Genomic DNA, 15,674 nt, shown 5'->3' with positions numbered 1-15,674 from the left:
TTGTTCCCCTCCCTGTGTCTGTGTTCTCAATGTTCAATGTCCACTTATGAGTAAGAACATGCAGTGTTTGGTTTTCTGTTCCTGTGTTAGTTTTCTGAGGATGATGGATTCTAGTTTCATTCATGTCCCTGCAAAGGACATGATCTCATTCCTTTTTATGGCTGCGTAGTATTCCATGGTGTATGTGTACCACATTTTGTTTGTTCAGGATTGACATTTTTTTTTTCTCTGTACATATCTCTGTGTTATGCATGGTGAGAAACAGAGTTGAAATGGACAGGTCCTTATACTTCTTCAGATACTTCATCACTGGCATCATTTTATGTACTGGTGACTATAGTTGATGGAGATACAAGAACCACCAGGAATGGATACAGCTTGTTGCAGTGACATTGTATCTGGTTGTCTTGGTATTTGAAAATTTAGTATTTATGGTTTTAACAATTCATGGCACACACAAATCCCTTGACCTGTATGTAGCCATTTACAATTTAGCTGAGACTCAGATGTGAAGTTCATGACTCCACAAGCATGGTGAGTCACCGTGGTGGACTGCCCAACATCATCTCAGTGTGGCATTGCTGTTTCTTACCCATTGTCAGTAAGTAGTCAAATTGGTGATGGGGAGAAAATGTTCTTTGTGGCATGGTGCCAGAAAGAAGGCCAACAGGTTGATGGTGGTGGTGGAAGAAAAGGGAAAACGAAGGGATTTAAGAAAATAATGGCTCTTTGGCAGTTTTATTTTTTATTTATTTATTTATTTTGAGACAGAGTCTCGCTCTGTCGCCCAGGCTGGAGTGCAGTGGCGCAATCTTGGCTCACTGCAACCTCCGTCTCCTGAGTTCAAGTGATTCTCCTGCCTCAGCCTCCTAAGTAGCTGGGATTACAGGTGTGTGCCACCATGCCCAGCTAATTTTTGTATTTTTAGTAGAGACGGGGTTTCACCATGTTGGTCAGGCTGGTCTCGAACTCCTGACTTTGTGATCCACCCGCCTCAGCCTCCCAAAGTGATGTGATTACAGGCATGAGCCACTGTGTCCGGCTGGCAGTTTTTAGATCAATAAATTATCTAGTAATTAATTTGGTGATAGCTTAAAACTATTGTATGAATGGGTTGAACCAAATGTTCATTTTATGTAGAAACAAGAAAACACTTCAAGAAATTGGTTCAAGAGGGCTAAAATTTGTAGTTATGAGAAAAATGAATAAAATTTAAACCTGCCATTGTTGGCAATGAAGAGACAAATTTCATGTGGGAAGGGGCTCGCTGGTCTTTCTGCCATAATTCTTCCCAGAGATTCACTTCTTAGAATTCTGTACCAGTTAATATTACCACTCTGCTGGCTTCCAGGAGGCACTGCTCCAGCTTATGTGATGATACCAAGCAGGGAACAACAAATCCTTGCTTTAATACACTATAGCCCAGTGGGACTGAGGCTGGACAAGGCTTTACTAAAGGGTTGATTGTAACAAACTGGAAATGAATGCTGCCTGGCTCTGTACCTGGTCAGAAAAAGGTACAGTTGACTTGTCCTTTGATTTGAGGCCTCCTAGCAGAGGTCTTCACACCTGGTCCCAGGGTACCTTCCTTTGGCCCAGTTCCAGTTCTTTCCACTTCCAATTAGAATGTTCCCAGGGTGTTAGAGTCCTCTAATGCAGATCCAAGAGACCGAAATCCAGAGAGAATCTCTTCTCTGCCTGCCTGAGGTCTGCCTACTCCTGTGTTCTATTAGAGGACCTGTTTCTTTCTTGATGTTTTAAACCAGGCGTGTCTGTTTCCTTCAGGGAGACCCTTATTTCTACCCTCAAATATGTTAGGTGCTGTTATTATTCCCATTATACAGATGAAGACAGATGATTTTACTTGTTCAGTGATGGAGTGTGAATTTCAGCAGCCCAGCTCTAGAGCCTAGTTTCTTAAACATTAAGTGGTGTAGTCTTATCTTATATAAATGAGATTCATAAAGCATGTTGGAATCATTGAAGATCCAGATAGATCATTAGAAGTTCTAGTTGTTTTTTATAAGAAATATATATGCAGTATTTCCTAAACTTCTCCAATGACAAAGCTCACATGGGGTGCATATGAAATTGCAAGACTACCAAATCTTCCCCATGGAGAATCTGATTCAATAGAGGCCTGAAGTACTGATTTTTCTAAAAGTTTATTTTAGAAAATTAACTAATTTTTCTAAAGTTAGATTTAGATAATTTTTCTAAAGTTTATTTTTCTAAAAGTTTATTTAAATTGAAAAGTTTATTTTCTAAAAGTTTATTTCTAAAAGTTTAAGTTTGACTCTTACCTTTGGGCAAGTTTCAGATATTCTCCTGATGAGAGTCCATGGTTGTTATTGCATTTGGAGCCCTTCTGATGTCTTTATAGTCTCAGCAGCTGTTGCATCCTTCCCCAGTTTGACTTCCCATCCCCCCCACCACCCGAAGCCTTTATCACTGGGACCTATTTGAAGTTAATTTTTGTATACAGTGAAAGGATGTGTGGATTGAACTTCATTTGTTTTGGTTTATGGATATCCATTTTTTCCAGCACCGTTTACTAATAAGACTAACCTTTCTCCACTGCATTTAAAAAAAATAACTTACAGGCTGGGCAAGGTGGCTCACGCCTATAATCCCAGCACTTTGGGAGGCCGAGGCAGGCGGATCACCTGCGGTCAGGAGTTTGAGACCAGCCTGGCCAACATGGTGAAACCCCGTCTCTACTAAAAATAAAAAAATTAGCCGCGTATGGTGGTGTGTGCCTATAATCCCAGCTACCCAGGAGGCTGAGGCAGGAGGGTCGCTTGAACCCGGGAGGCAGACGTTGAAGTGAGCTGAGATCGCACCACTCCACTCCAGGCTGGGCGACAAGTATGAGACTCCATCTCAAAAATAATAATAATAATAATAACTTTGAGATATTATTTTCATACTGTACAGCTCACCTAGGTAAGGTATGTGATCAATGGTTTTAGTTGCACAAATATTCAGATTTGTGCAACTATGCCACAATCAACTTTTGAATGTTTTTCTTACTCCAAAAGGAACCCCATACCTAACAAGCATTCACCCCACGGTACCCATTTTCTTCAGCCCTAAGCAACCCCTCATCTACTTTCTGTCTCTGTAGAATTGACTATTCTAGGCATGTCATAGAAATGGAATCATATACTTTGTGGCCTTTTGTTGACTAGTTTCTATTACTTAGCATAACGTTTTCAAGGTTCATCCATATTGTACCATGTTTGTCAGTACTTCATTGCTCTTTATGGCCACATAATATACCATTGTGTGAATATGTGACATTTTATTGATCCACTTGTCAGTTGATGGACATTTGAGTTGTTTCAACTTTCTGGCTATTGTAAATATACTGCTATGAATATTTTAATATAAATTTTTATGCGGGTGTCCATTTTTGTTTTTCTTTGATATATACCTAGCAGTGAAATTGCTGGAATTATTTAAAACTCTACATGTAAGTAATTTGAGGAACTGCCAAACTGTTTCCAAAGCAACTTTACAATTTTACATTGTCATAGCAATATAAGAGAGTTCCAATTTCTCCTCATTCTTGGAAGACTATTGTTTGTCTATTTGATTATAGTCATCCTAGAGAGTGTGAAGTGGTATCTTATTTTTGTTTTGTTTTGGATTTCCCTAATGACTAAACATGTTCGGCCAGGCACAGTAGTGCACCCCTATAATTGCAGCTATTCAAGAGACTGGGGCAGGAGGATTTCTTGAAGCCAAGAGTTTGATGTTACAGCACATGGTGGTCACACCTGTCAGTAGCTACTACATTCCAGCTGGGACATCATAGCAAAACCACAACTCTAAAAAAGAACAAAACCCAAAGCCAACCAAACAAAAAAAAAAAATTCCAAACCTCAGGGGCATATGAAGTTGTTGAGCATCTCTTCATACCCTTATTGTTATTTGTATACATTCTTTGGAGACCATGACTATTTAGAGACTTTGCCAACTTTTAAATTGGGTTCTTTGTCTTTTGATTATTGAATTGTAAGAGTTCTTTATATATTCTGTGTCATGGTTATCCCATGGAAGTGGAATGGGGCCCCCTTACCCAAAATTTGGATTGGGTGTCAACACTGATAACACCACACATGCATCAAGAGGGTATGAAAAGCTTAGCTTTGTTGCTCACATAATCAGGCTTTTTGCAGAGAGCAGGGCAGCCTTTCAAGTAAGTACAAGAATGGCCCGAGAGAGTAGGAAAGAAGATTGGCTTGTCCTTTATTATGGCTAGGGGGTGGAGCTAGGGGGAGGTTCTCACACACATGCCAAGGCTTTTGCTGTTTTAACTCTTGCCAGTGCCAAAGGAGGGAGTACACAGGCTTTCTTATCAGTTTGCCCAGATGTGGGGGAAGAGTGGTGAGGCTTGAGAGCTGCCAAGAGGAAAACATCAAAATGGAGTTACTCTTTTTCACTGTCTGCATACAAGTCCCTTACTCCATACATGACTTGCAAATATATTTTTTTCCATTCTGTGGATTACCTTTGTCGATGATATTGCTTATAGTACAAAAGTTTTGATTTTGATTAAGTCCAATTTATCTTTTGTTCCTTTACTGTTTGTGCTTTTGATATTGTAGCTAAGAGACCTTTCCCTAACCCAAGGCCACAGAGATTTAATCCTATCCTTTCTTCTAAGAAATTTTAGTTTTAACTTTTACCTCTAGGTATATGTTCCATTTTAAGTTAATTTTTGCATGTGAATAGTTTTTACTGAGGTGCTCTTGTACCTTTGTCAATAATTGGTCATTAACTATGTATATTCCTTTTCTAACTTTTCTATGCTGTTTTCTTTATCTATTTGTCTATCTTTATGCCAGTGGAGGCTTGGTGTGATTACTGTAGCTTTATAAAAAGTCTTGAAATCGGGTAGTATCAGTCTTACAACTTTGCTCTTTTTCAAAGTTGTTTAGTCTATTCTAGATCCTTAGAATTTCCGTGTGAATTTTGAAACTGGCTTTCTATAAAAAAAATTCTGCTAGTAGTTTGATTGAAATTGCATTGAATCTATATATCAGTTTGGGGAAGAACTGATACCTTAGTAATATTCAGTATTCCAGTTCATACACACAATATGTTTCTCCATTTATTTAAGTCTTCTTAAATATATCTCAGTGGTGTTTTATAGTTTTCATTATCTAAGTCTTTCTCATTTGTGGCAGATTTATCACTAAGTAGTTCATAATTTCTACGCTATTAATAATGGTATTTTAAATTTCTAATTGTTTATCAGTATACATGATTTTTATTAGTGTATATAAATATAGATTTTTGTATATTGATCTTGTATACCAAAACCTTGCTAAACTCACTTATTAGTTCTAGTAGCTTTATTGTGGATTCTATCAGATGTTCTGCGTAGATGATCAGGTTATATGTGAACAAAGAGTTTTACTATTTTATTTGAATATGGATGACTTCTACTTCTTTTTCTTAAGTTATTGCCCTAAAGAGGACTTCTGATATGATACTGAATAGAAACGGCGAGAGTGGACAGCCCTGTCTTGCTACTGGTCTCAGGGAGAAAACAAGTAGTCATTATATATTACTTGTAGATTTTTGAAGGTGGGGCTGAAGATACTCCCTTCTATTCCTACTTTGCTGAGGGTTTTTATTAGTGCAGTTCACCTTTGAGTAACACAGGTTTGAAGTGTGTGGGTTCACTTACATGTGGATTTTTTTCCAATCAAACAGATGGAGAATACAGTAGTTGCAGAATGGGAAACTTGTGTATATGGAGGGCGACTTTTAGTATCAGCAGCTGTACTGGGGGACTGACGGACTTGATCATGTGTGATTTGGTATACTCAGGGAGTCCTGGAACCAATCCTCTGCATATACTGAAGGATGAATAGATGAGAAGATCATATGTTATTTTTAACAAGTGTGTTAATATGGTAGATTACATTAATTGATTTTCAAACGTTAACCTAGACCTGCATTCATAGGATAGGCTCCTCTTAGTTATTGCACTAGTTTCCTCGGGCTGCCGTTACAAAGTACCACAAACTGGGTGGTTGGAAACAACAGAAATTTATTCTCTCATAGTTCTGGAGTTTTCAAGTCTGACAAGATTTCCAGGTTCATGCTCTCCCTGAAGGCTCTTGGACTTATCCTTCCTTGTCTCTTCCTAGCTGCTGTGGTTGCCAGCAACCCTTGGTGTTCTGGGGTTCGTTGTTGCATTACTCCAACCTCTGCCTCCGTTGCCACTTGCTGTCCTTCTTGTGTCTCTTTATCTCTGTGTTCAAATTTCTATATTCTTATAAGGACACCAGGCCTACCCTAATCCACTTTAACCTCACTTCAACTTGGTTATATGTGCAAAGATCTGATTTCTAAATGAAGTCACATTCACAAGTACCAAGGGTTACAACTTAACATATCTTTCTGAGAGACCCAATTCTACCCTCTACAATCATGAAGTATTATTTTAAAAAATATGTTGTTGGAATCAATTTGTTAGATTTTTTTTTTAGAATTTTGCATTTATATTCATAAGAGATGTTTTTCATACTTTTAGAAAATACTGTCTTAATTTTTTGGTTTTGCTCTAGGGACAATGCTAGACTCACAGAATGAATTGGGAAGTATTCCCTCCTCTGCTATTTGCTGGAATAAATTGTGTAGAATTAGTCATATTTTCTTCCTTAAATGTTTGAATGAATTCTCCAGTGTAGCCATTTGGCTATGAAGTTCTCTCTTGCAAAGAGTTTTAACTGCAAATTCACTTTCTTTAATAGATATTGAGCCATTTAATTTATCTATTTCTTCTTGAGTGAACTTTGATAGTGCGTGTCTTTCAAGGTCTTTGTTCATTTCACCATAATTGTACAATTTATTTGTATAACATTGTTCTTAACCTTTTCGAATTATCCTTTTAATATCTGTAGAATCTATAATAATTCTTAATATTTGTAGTTTATGCCTTCTTTTTGTTTCTAACTAACCAGTCTGGGTAGGGGGGGTCTCAATTTTATTGATCTGTCAAAGTACTAGATTTTAGTTGCGTTGATTGGCTTTACTTACTATCTTTCTGTTTTCTATTTTATCAATTTCCATTGTGATCTTTACTATTTATCTTCCTCTGCTTTCTTTGCACTTAATTTGTTCATCATTTTCTAGTTTCTTAAAACGGAAGGCGAAGTTATTGATTTGAGAGTGTATTCTTTTCTAATGCAGGTATCTAGTATTATAAATTTCCTTTTAAGTACTGCTTTATCAGTATACCACACACTTTTATATTATGTGTTATTTCATTTCATTCTGAATACTTTCTCACTTCCCTTTTGATTTATTCTTTGATTATATGGTATTCAGAAGTGTGTTGTTTAGTTTTCCAAATATGTGGCAATATTGAAAGAGATTCTTCCGTTGCTAATTTCTAATTTAATTTCATTTGGCTGGACAACATACTTTGTGTGACTTAAATCCTTTTAATTTTATTGAGTTTTTTTATGGCTCAAAATGTATTCTATCCTGACCAGTGTGTCCTGTGTACTTAAAATGTGCATATTGTGCCATTGTCCATAAATGTCAATTAATCAGGTTGTGTGGTGTTATTTTCAAGCCATCTATATTCTTCCTATATTCTATATCCTTTTCTGCTTACTTGTTTTATCCATTATTAACAGAAAAGTATCAAAACATCCAACTAAAACTGTGGGTTTGTCTATTTGTCCTTTAGTTCTATCAATCAATTTTCCCTCATGTATTTTGATTATTTATTATTAAGTGTATAAACTTTTAGGAGTGTTATGTCCTCTTCATGAATTGATCCTTTTTTGCTCTGTGTTTTGTTTTGAATAGTTGTGACTGCTATGCCATTCCAGTTTCTTCTGTAATGTCTAAACTGCCATTCATCCCATCCAGTGTATTTTTTTATCTCAGACATTATAGTTTTCAATTCAAAAATTTGATTTGAATCTTACTAATATTGTTTATGTCTCTAACTTTTTAGATACATAGAATACAGTTATAATAATAATTGTTTTAATGTCTTTTCTAATCCCAACGTCTGTGTCAGTTCTGGATGGTTTCTATTTATTGATTTACCTTATCTTGTGATTAGTATTTTTCTGCTGCTTTGCATGCCTGGTAGCTTTTGATTGGATGCCAGGCATTGTAAATTTTACCTTGTTCAGTGTTTGGTATTGTATACCTATAAATATTCTTGATTTTATTTTCTGTTAGAATAAGCTAAGTTGCTTAGAAACAATTTGATTTTTTTTAGGTCTTGCTTTTAATAATTGTTTGCTAGGCTACGGTAGCATTTAGCCTTAGGCTAATTATTCCGCTTTGCTGAGGAAGACTCGTCTGAGTATTTCATGAATTATGAGATGTTCCAGCCTGGCTGGTGGGAATGGGTTAGGGAGACTCACAGAATCAGTATATTGTCCTACTCACAACTAGGATTTATTATAGCGAAAGTACACAAAGCAAAATCATCAAGGGGAAAGCACATGTGGTGAAGTCCAGAGAAAATTGGGCTCAAGCTTCCAGGAGTGCTGTCTCAGTGGAATTGCACAGGTGCACTTCAGTCCCTTAGCAAGGAGTTGTGACAAGAAATGGGAAATGTTATCTACTTGGGAAGCTCCTTAGTCATTTAGCACCTAAGGTTTTAATTGGGTGCTGGTCGTGTGAGCATCCTCTGCCTAGCATGCACCAGAATTCCAGGTTCCCAGAAGGAAAGTAGGTGTTAAACACACACCTTCCAGTTCTCTTTCCTTTTTGTTGAAAGAAAATAATTTGAAACTACCTGACTTGAAAAAGTATGTGTTACACCAAGGGTTGGCAAATGATTTCTATAAGGGGCCAGATAGTAAATATAGGCTTCATGTGCATGTGCCAGATGGTCTGTGTCTTAACCACTCAGCACTGCTGTTACAGCATGAATACAGCTAGCTAATATTTAAACGATTGAGTGTGGTTGTATTCCCATAGGAACTTTATTTTTGATTTTTATTTATTTATTTATTTTTGAGATGGAGTCTCACTCTGTCACCCAGGCTGGAGTGCTGGGTCGCGATCTTGGTTCACTGCAACCTCCGCCTCCCAGGTTCAAGTAGTTCTCCTGCCTCAGCCTCCTGAGTAGCTGGGATTACAGGCACACACCACCACACCAGGCTACTTTTATATTTTTAGTAGAGACGGAGTTTCACCATGTTGGCCAGGCTGGTCTCAAACTCCCGGCCTCAGATAATTCACCCATCTCAGCTTCCCAAAGTGCTGAGATTACAGATGTAAGCCACCGCTCCCGACCTGGAACTTTATTTTTTAAAAAACAGTTTTTTGTTTTTTTTTTTCTCCTTTGTTTTGTGGGAGGGGTTGCCTGCAGGCTGTCGTTTGCCAGCCCTGATGCCACACAAGTATTAGGAATAATCCCCTTTTGCAACAGCAACTTAATTTATTACAAGCCTTTTATGAAATCTAAAAATTTCAGTGTCCTAAAATGCAGGCCTGTTGTGACATCAGTGAAAAGTAGGGGTAAGTCTGCTGCAGAGGTGGAGCGTCAATGGCTAATGACCTTATACGTCAATTTTCATTGTGCTAGAGATGGTTACTGTATTTTGAATAGTGTCTTTTGTCCTGGGAGACTTTTATACCCTGAACAATGCACCATCTGAATTCTTGAAAGGGATGGGAGATAAGCTTTTTTTGGTAAAGTGTGATAACAACAACTGTGAAAAGGGGAAGAACAAAAGAATCTATCCCTCCATGACAGCCTGGTCTCAAGCAGATCGCTTTAGTGAACCCCAGTGGAAGGTGAAAGAGAATCTGGGTAGATTCTTTACAGCTTTTGGAGCTCTCCTATCCATTGAAATTTCTTCCAGTGACTCTAGGGATACTTTAGTTTGGATTTCTGAAAAATTTAAGAAATTTCTTTCTGTTTCCCAGCAATTGAACCAATTACAGTTCATACATGTAACCCTCCCTCTGAGCTGTCCGTGGTGGTGGTTATTCTTGCTGTTTAATGCATGCTGTCATTTCAAATCTCCCATGTCCCAGACAGACATGTGCCTACATATGCTCCAGCCCTCTTTCTGCCCTAAATCAACCCACACAGGGAGCTCAGGACGGACGCTGTGAAGAAAAATATCCACAGTATCAAACTCACCCATAATTCTAATACATTTTGGTAAAGTTTTGGGACGATATAGAAAATCACAGGGAAGAGCTGGGCTCAGTGGCTCACGCCTGTAATCCTGGCAGTTTTGGAGGCTGAGGTAGGTGGATCACTTGAGGTCAGGAGTTCGAGACCAGCCTGGCTGACACCCCATCTCCCCTAAAAATACAAAAACATTAGCTGGGTGTGGTGGCGGGCACCTGTAATCCTAGCTTCTTGGGAGGCTGAGGGCAGGAGAATAACTTGAACCTGAGAGGTGGAGGTTGCAGTGAGCCAACATTGTGCCATTGCACTCCAGCCTGGATGACAGCACAAGACTGAAAAAAAGAAAATCATAGAGAAGGGTTATGGCACACACACATTTCCCTACTTAACCTTTCTGTGCCTCAGTTTCCTAAATTATAAAGTAGGAATAATAATAGTACCTGTGTCAGAGGTTTACTATAAGAATGAAATTATTATTTTTATTTTGATCCTATGTCAGTCGATTTGTGTTGCTATAAAGGAAGACATGAGGCTAATTGATAAATAAAGGAACTTTATTTGGCCTATTCTGCAGGCTGCATAAGAAGCATGGCATTGGCATCTGCATCTGCTGAGGGTTTCAGGCTGCTTCCACTCATGGCAGAAGGTGAAGGGGAGCCAGTGTGTGCTGATCACATGGGCAGAGAGGGGGCCCAGCTTTAAAAAAAAAAATCAGCTCTTGTGGGAACTAATAGTGCAGTAACTCACTCATTACTTCCAGTGTGGCACCAAGCCATTCATGAAGGATCTGCTGCCATGACCCAGACACCTCCTACTAGGCCCCACCTCCAATATTGCAGGTTAAATTTTAACATGAGAGTTGGAGTAGACAAATGTTCAAGCTACATTATCTGAGTTTTGTTTTTCCCTTCCCACCTTTCCTTCTCACTCCCATTTCTCTAAGGTTGCTCTCCTGAGAGCTGCAAGTTTTTATTCTCCTCTTCAGTTCTCCTTCATGGAAACTAGGGGGCAGCTGACAGTCATACCACAGAGAGTCAACCCCTCCAAAGAAAACTGTCCCTAAGAGGAATTCCAGGCCAGCTGTTGGGAGAACAATGTCTTCTCCATCTTGCTTTGGGTATTGATGGCCGCCTCACAGAGATCTTTGAGCCCTTCCTTAAGTCTGCTGCTGTCAGGGTGACTTGCTGCTTTTGAGAGGTTTGCCTCTAGGTGGTAACTTCCTTCTACCTCAAACACAACAATATACAGCAGGAAATGCTGTTTTTGGCAATGGATTAGAAGGAAGGCCAGGTCTTGTTCATTGACTATGAAACAATGGTGACTCATCTTGGATCCCTAAGAACACAGGGAAGACATTTGGCACAAAGTGGTCATTTGGTGAATACATACTGAATAAAACAACTCGGCATTTAGACCTACCTTATTTTTTTCCTCAAAACTGACAAAAGGCTAAAGAGCTCAATTAGAATTGGACTCATAAATGTTTTATTTATTCAACATGAGAGTCAAGGTAATGTAGTGTGGAGGCATGGGCTCTCTTGCCAGAGTGTCTTTGTTTTAAAGCAGACTTCTTCACACACACTCTGGGCATTAGATTTCTCATCATCAAAGTGGGGATAATTATAAAACCTGTCTCACAGCGATATTGTGAGAATTAGAAGACTTAATGCACAGAAGGTGTTTAGGATAATGCCTGGCAAATAGAACACACTCTACAAATGAAGCTATTATTCATCCAATGAACATTTCTGGATTGAGTGCCACTGTGTCTCATAAACTGGGCTGTGTGCTAGGGAATATGGAGATAAACACATAGTTTCAAGCCATAAAGCATTTAGGGCCTTCTATGGGAAGTTGAGAAGTAGATAGCAGTGAGGAGTATGGATGAAACGCTGTGCTACAGCTGTGCACAGAGCACTGTGAAGGCACAGGAGGGAATTCTCAATCAGATGTTAAGAGTCTCTAGAATTAACAAAAGCATTTGAATCTCTGCACAGCCTCATCTCTTACACTTACAGAAATGTTCCATATGGCAGATGATGACCTAAAAATCATATCCATTTTTTTTCCAAGTGCAGTTTAGTTCTAGCAAGTACTATAAGGTAAAAGAAACGTCATTTCCAAAACACTGACCTTGGAGCTGTCAATACAGTAGAATTTTCAGGGCTACCAAGGAAACAGCAGAGAATCCAGCTGAAAAAGTAGTTTTTGGAACATTTTTTTACCTAAAGGAAATGATAGAAATTCCAGTGTGGAAAAAATATGTTTTGATAAAAATCGAAGGTAACAGAAATATTAACTGCCTGGGGGAGACGGGGAATGCTTCTCAGGGAATATTGTATTTGAAGTAGGTCTTGATTGTATTTGAACTGGGTTTGAGGAGTAAGATGGAACATGTCATATGGGAAAAGGCACTTCAGGAAAAGGAGCAAGCATGTACAAAGTCCTGGAATCATGGAAGATCAAAGTATCTTGACAGAATTTCAAATAGTTCAATGTGACCGATGTATAAGAATTGTCACAGCAAGTGGTTAACTAATGTTTAGAAATGGTGGATGGAGGGCAGGTAATGGAGGGTCTTATGTGTGTTCTTAAGGAGCATAAAATGTATTCTAGATATGTTGGGAAGGACTGTAAGAAAGAGAGAGCCTTGATCACAGTTGCAATTTGGAAAGATTGCTCTGGTCCACAATGGATCAAAATTGCAAAATATGAAGCAGTTGGGCAATGGTTAAGGTAAGGGATGATGAAATCTAGAGAAGGCAGATGCCATGGAGACTGGTGGTACATTGTTAGGCCTGATGCCTCCAGAGGGTTAATACGATGATTCTTCTGTTGTAAGGTAGTGTGCATGTGTATAGCATGTCTCAATGTACCTGGTGCATTATGGGCTTTACCTGCACCTGGTAAAGCTCAGTATGAGCAGATAGGAATTGCATCTCTCTTTGCAGATGAGGGAACAGTTTCATTGAGCTGAAGTGGCTTGTGCAAGATCACCAAACCAACTGGTGGTGGTGGAGTAAGGACACAAACACAGGCGTCTTGAGTCCCACCCCAGTGCTTGTTGCCATATGTCCATGGAGAGTTCTTCTCAACTCCTTCCTTCATCATCCTCAAAGGCATGAACTTAAATCCTAAATGTGGGTCACCCAAGCCTCTTCAGTGTTACTCCACCCTTCCTCCTTTCCCACTGCAATCCCCAGTCTTCCTTCCTTATCCCTTTTATAATCCTCAGGATTTACTTTTTGATTTCTAATGCCCTAGATCCTCCGGTTTGTGATTATAGAGCCCCTATTTTTATGGACCTGGTAGATCCCCATTTTTTTCTTGATGTGAGGTTCCACCTTTACTTTTAAAGATAAGGCAGGCAACCTGTGTATTGCTCTGATTACTTTTCAAGTCACTCTTTACATATCATCAACTTTTGTTTCCACAATTGCTTACTTTCTCAAAAGCAAAGCCTCATGAAGCATTTTGTTAATAAACATCTTTAAGAGAAATTGAAGGTGGAAGATTTATAACAGATGCCCGTGTTCCATTGCTCTTACCATATCCTTTCCTCTTACAGGTTCCCACCCCTCATTTCTCATCCCTCTAATATAAATCTCAGTAACTGAGTAGCGCATTTGCTCCATTGTTGCCAGTTGGGTCCCCTTGGCTTCTGTTTGATGCTACTCAGCTGGTTCCTCAGAGACCCTCTGTGAGCAGCTTGGCTCCAGTGCCCCTTAGCATTTTCTCTCAGAGTTCTGCTGATTGAGTTGTCAAATGTCAAAGGGGAAGTTAGAGATCGTTAAATCCAACCCTGCCCAGATGAGAAAACAAAGACTCCATGAGTGAAAGTGACTCTCCAAGGACGCCAGGCAGCTGGCTGTGGGAGAGGCCAGGACCCGGGTCTCCTGCTCTCACCTGGGCTTCTCCCACTGGTTCACTCTGCCTTCTGTCTCTACCAGTAAAATGTTAATTTCAATTAAATGGGACTCTGGGGCAATCACAAGAAGAGAAAAGTATAGTTCCTGACTTCACAGCCTGGCTGGGTGACAAGTTTAAAACACATGGCAAGTTAAAGGACAAGGCAAACTCACCATATGCACACATCTGTCAGAGGGCCAGAGAATAGATGCAGGTGGGAAGCCTAGATGGGTTCAGAGGCTTATCTCGAGAATCATCCAGAATCAGCCCACTGTGGGTTTCCATCCCAAATCTGCCATTTACTAGATGAGTAAACTTGGCATGTCCCCAAATGTTGCTATGCTTCAAGGTGCTCACAGTGGTGAGGAAATGAAGTAACAGGTATTCTCGGACTGAGTTGGCACTCAGCAAATGGCAGCTGGGAAGGTTCCCCTGGTGGGAAGGATGAGACAGGTGCAGGGGGCTGACTTATCTGTAGCTACATGGAAAAGAGAGATGGGACGCTCAGGCAGGGCTGACGGCTGGAGCCAAGGAGCAAGGAAGACGTGTATGGTGAGGGACCAAGGAGGAGGCCACCTGGCTGGAGAGGAGGTTTTGGAAGCAGAATCAGGGAGAATGGCTGGAAAGGTGGGTAGGAACCTTCCCCAAGGAGAGTTTGAAATTAGATTTAGCAATTCATGCAATGTTAAAATTGGAGGAGCCCAAGAAACAACCTAGTGTCTTCACCCTCAAACTGATCTTTGTGTCACCCTGGAATTTGATGCAAAGATAGTGGGTATTACTTGATAAAATGCGCTTGGGAAATTCTATGTTAAAGCTAAATAAGGTTCTTTCCTGAGAACTTTTGAAAAGGTAATTCTGTTGTACCTTGTCACGAAAAAATTACATTGCATTTCACTTATTTCATCACAGGACTTTACACACACACACACACACACACACACACACACGTATATGTATAAACTAAACGCCAGTAAGATATTATCCAGAGAAACAGGGCTAGTGCCTCCCAAATAGCTCTCTTTTCTTTTGGTCGGTTCTGGAGAGAAGTCTGAGGTCAAAGTGTCATCAGGGTTGGTTCTTTCTGAAGGCTCTGATGGAGAATATGTTCCAGGCCCCTCTCCTTGGCTTAGAGATGACTGTTTTCTCCTTGTGTCTCATACTGTCTTCTCTCTTGGAATATCTCTATGTCCAAATTTGCCACTTTGTATAAGGACACCACCAGTCATGTTGGATGAGGGACTACCCTGATGACTTCACTTTAACTTAATTACCTTTATAAAGATCCTATCTGCAAATAAGATCACTTTGCATATGTTGAATTTGGACTTCAACATATGAATTTTGGGGGAGCATACCTCAACCCATGATATGGTTTGGCTGTGTCCCCACCCAAATCTCTTCTTGAATTGTAGTTCCTGTAATCCCCACGTGTCAAGGGCAGGACCAGGTGGAGATAATTGAATCTTGGGGGGTGGTTTTCCCTATCCTGTTATCATGATAGTGAGTGAGTTCGCATGAGATCTGATGGTTTTATAAGGGGCTTCCCCCTTTGCTTGACACTCCTTCTCTCCCCTGCCACCATGTGAAGAAGGACGTGTTTGCTTCCTTTTCTGCCATGATT

The 15,674-nt window shown here is 39.7% G+C and overlaps 1 protein-coding gene across 1 annotated transcript in view, besides 1 other annotated feature; it reads left to right on the top strand.

Annotated features, from left to right (window-relative positions):
• NBAS (NBAS subunit of NRZ tethering complex) overlaps nucleotides 1–15,674 on the top strand; it is a 782,426-nt gene that overhangs the window by 589,056 nt on the left and 177,696 nt on the right. The gene's annotated exons all lie outside the window — the stretch shown is intronic.
• Nucleotides 10,934–12,133: an enhancer, noted in NCBI's record as "CDK7 strongly-dependent group 2 enhancer chr2:15100270-15101469 (GRCh37/hg19 assembly coordinates)". NCBI's record gives its function as "activates an origin of replication core promoter dependent on BRD2, BRD4, P300/CBP, MED14 and CDK7 cofactors, with strong dependence on CDK7, by STARR-seq in HCT116 cells {active_cell/tissue: HCT116}" and the evidence as "EXISTENCE:reporter gene assay evidence [ECO:0000049][PMID:35650434]".

This window comes from Homo sapiens, chromosome 2 (assembly GCF_000001405.40).
Source record: "Homo sapiens chromosome 2, GRCh38.p14 Primary Assembly".
Lineage (NCBI taxonomy): Eukaryota > Metazoa > Chordata > Mammalia > Primates > Hominidae > Homo > Homo sapiens.
Note: the sequence above shows the minus strand (reverse complement) of the source record. Positions and strands in the feature narration are given on the sequence as shown.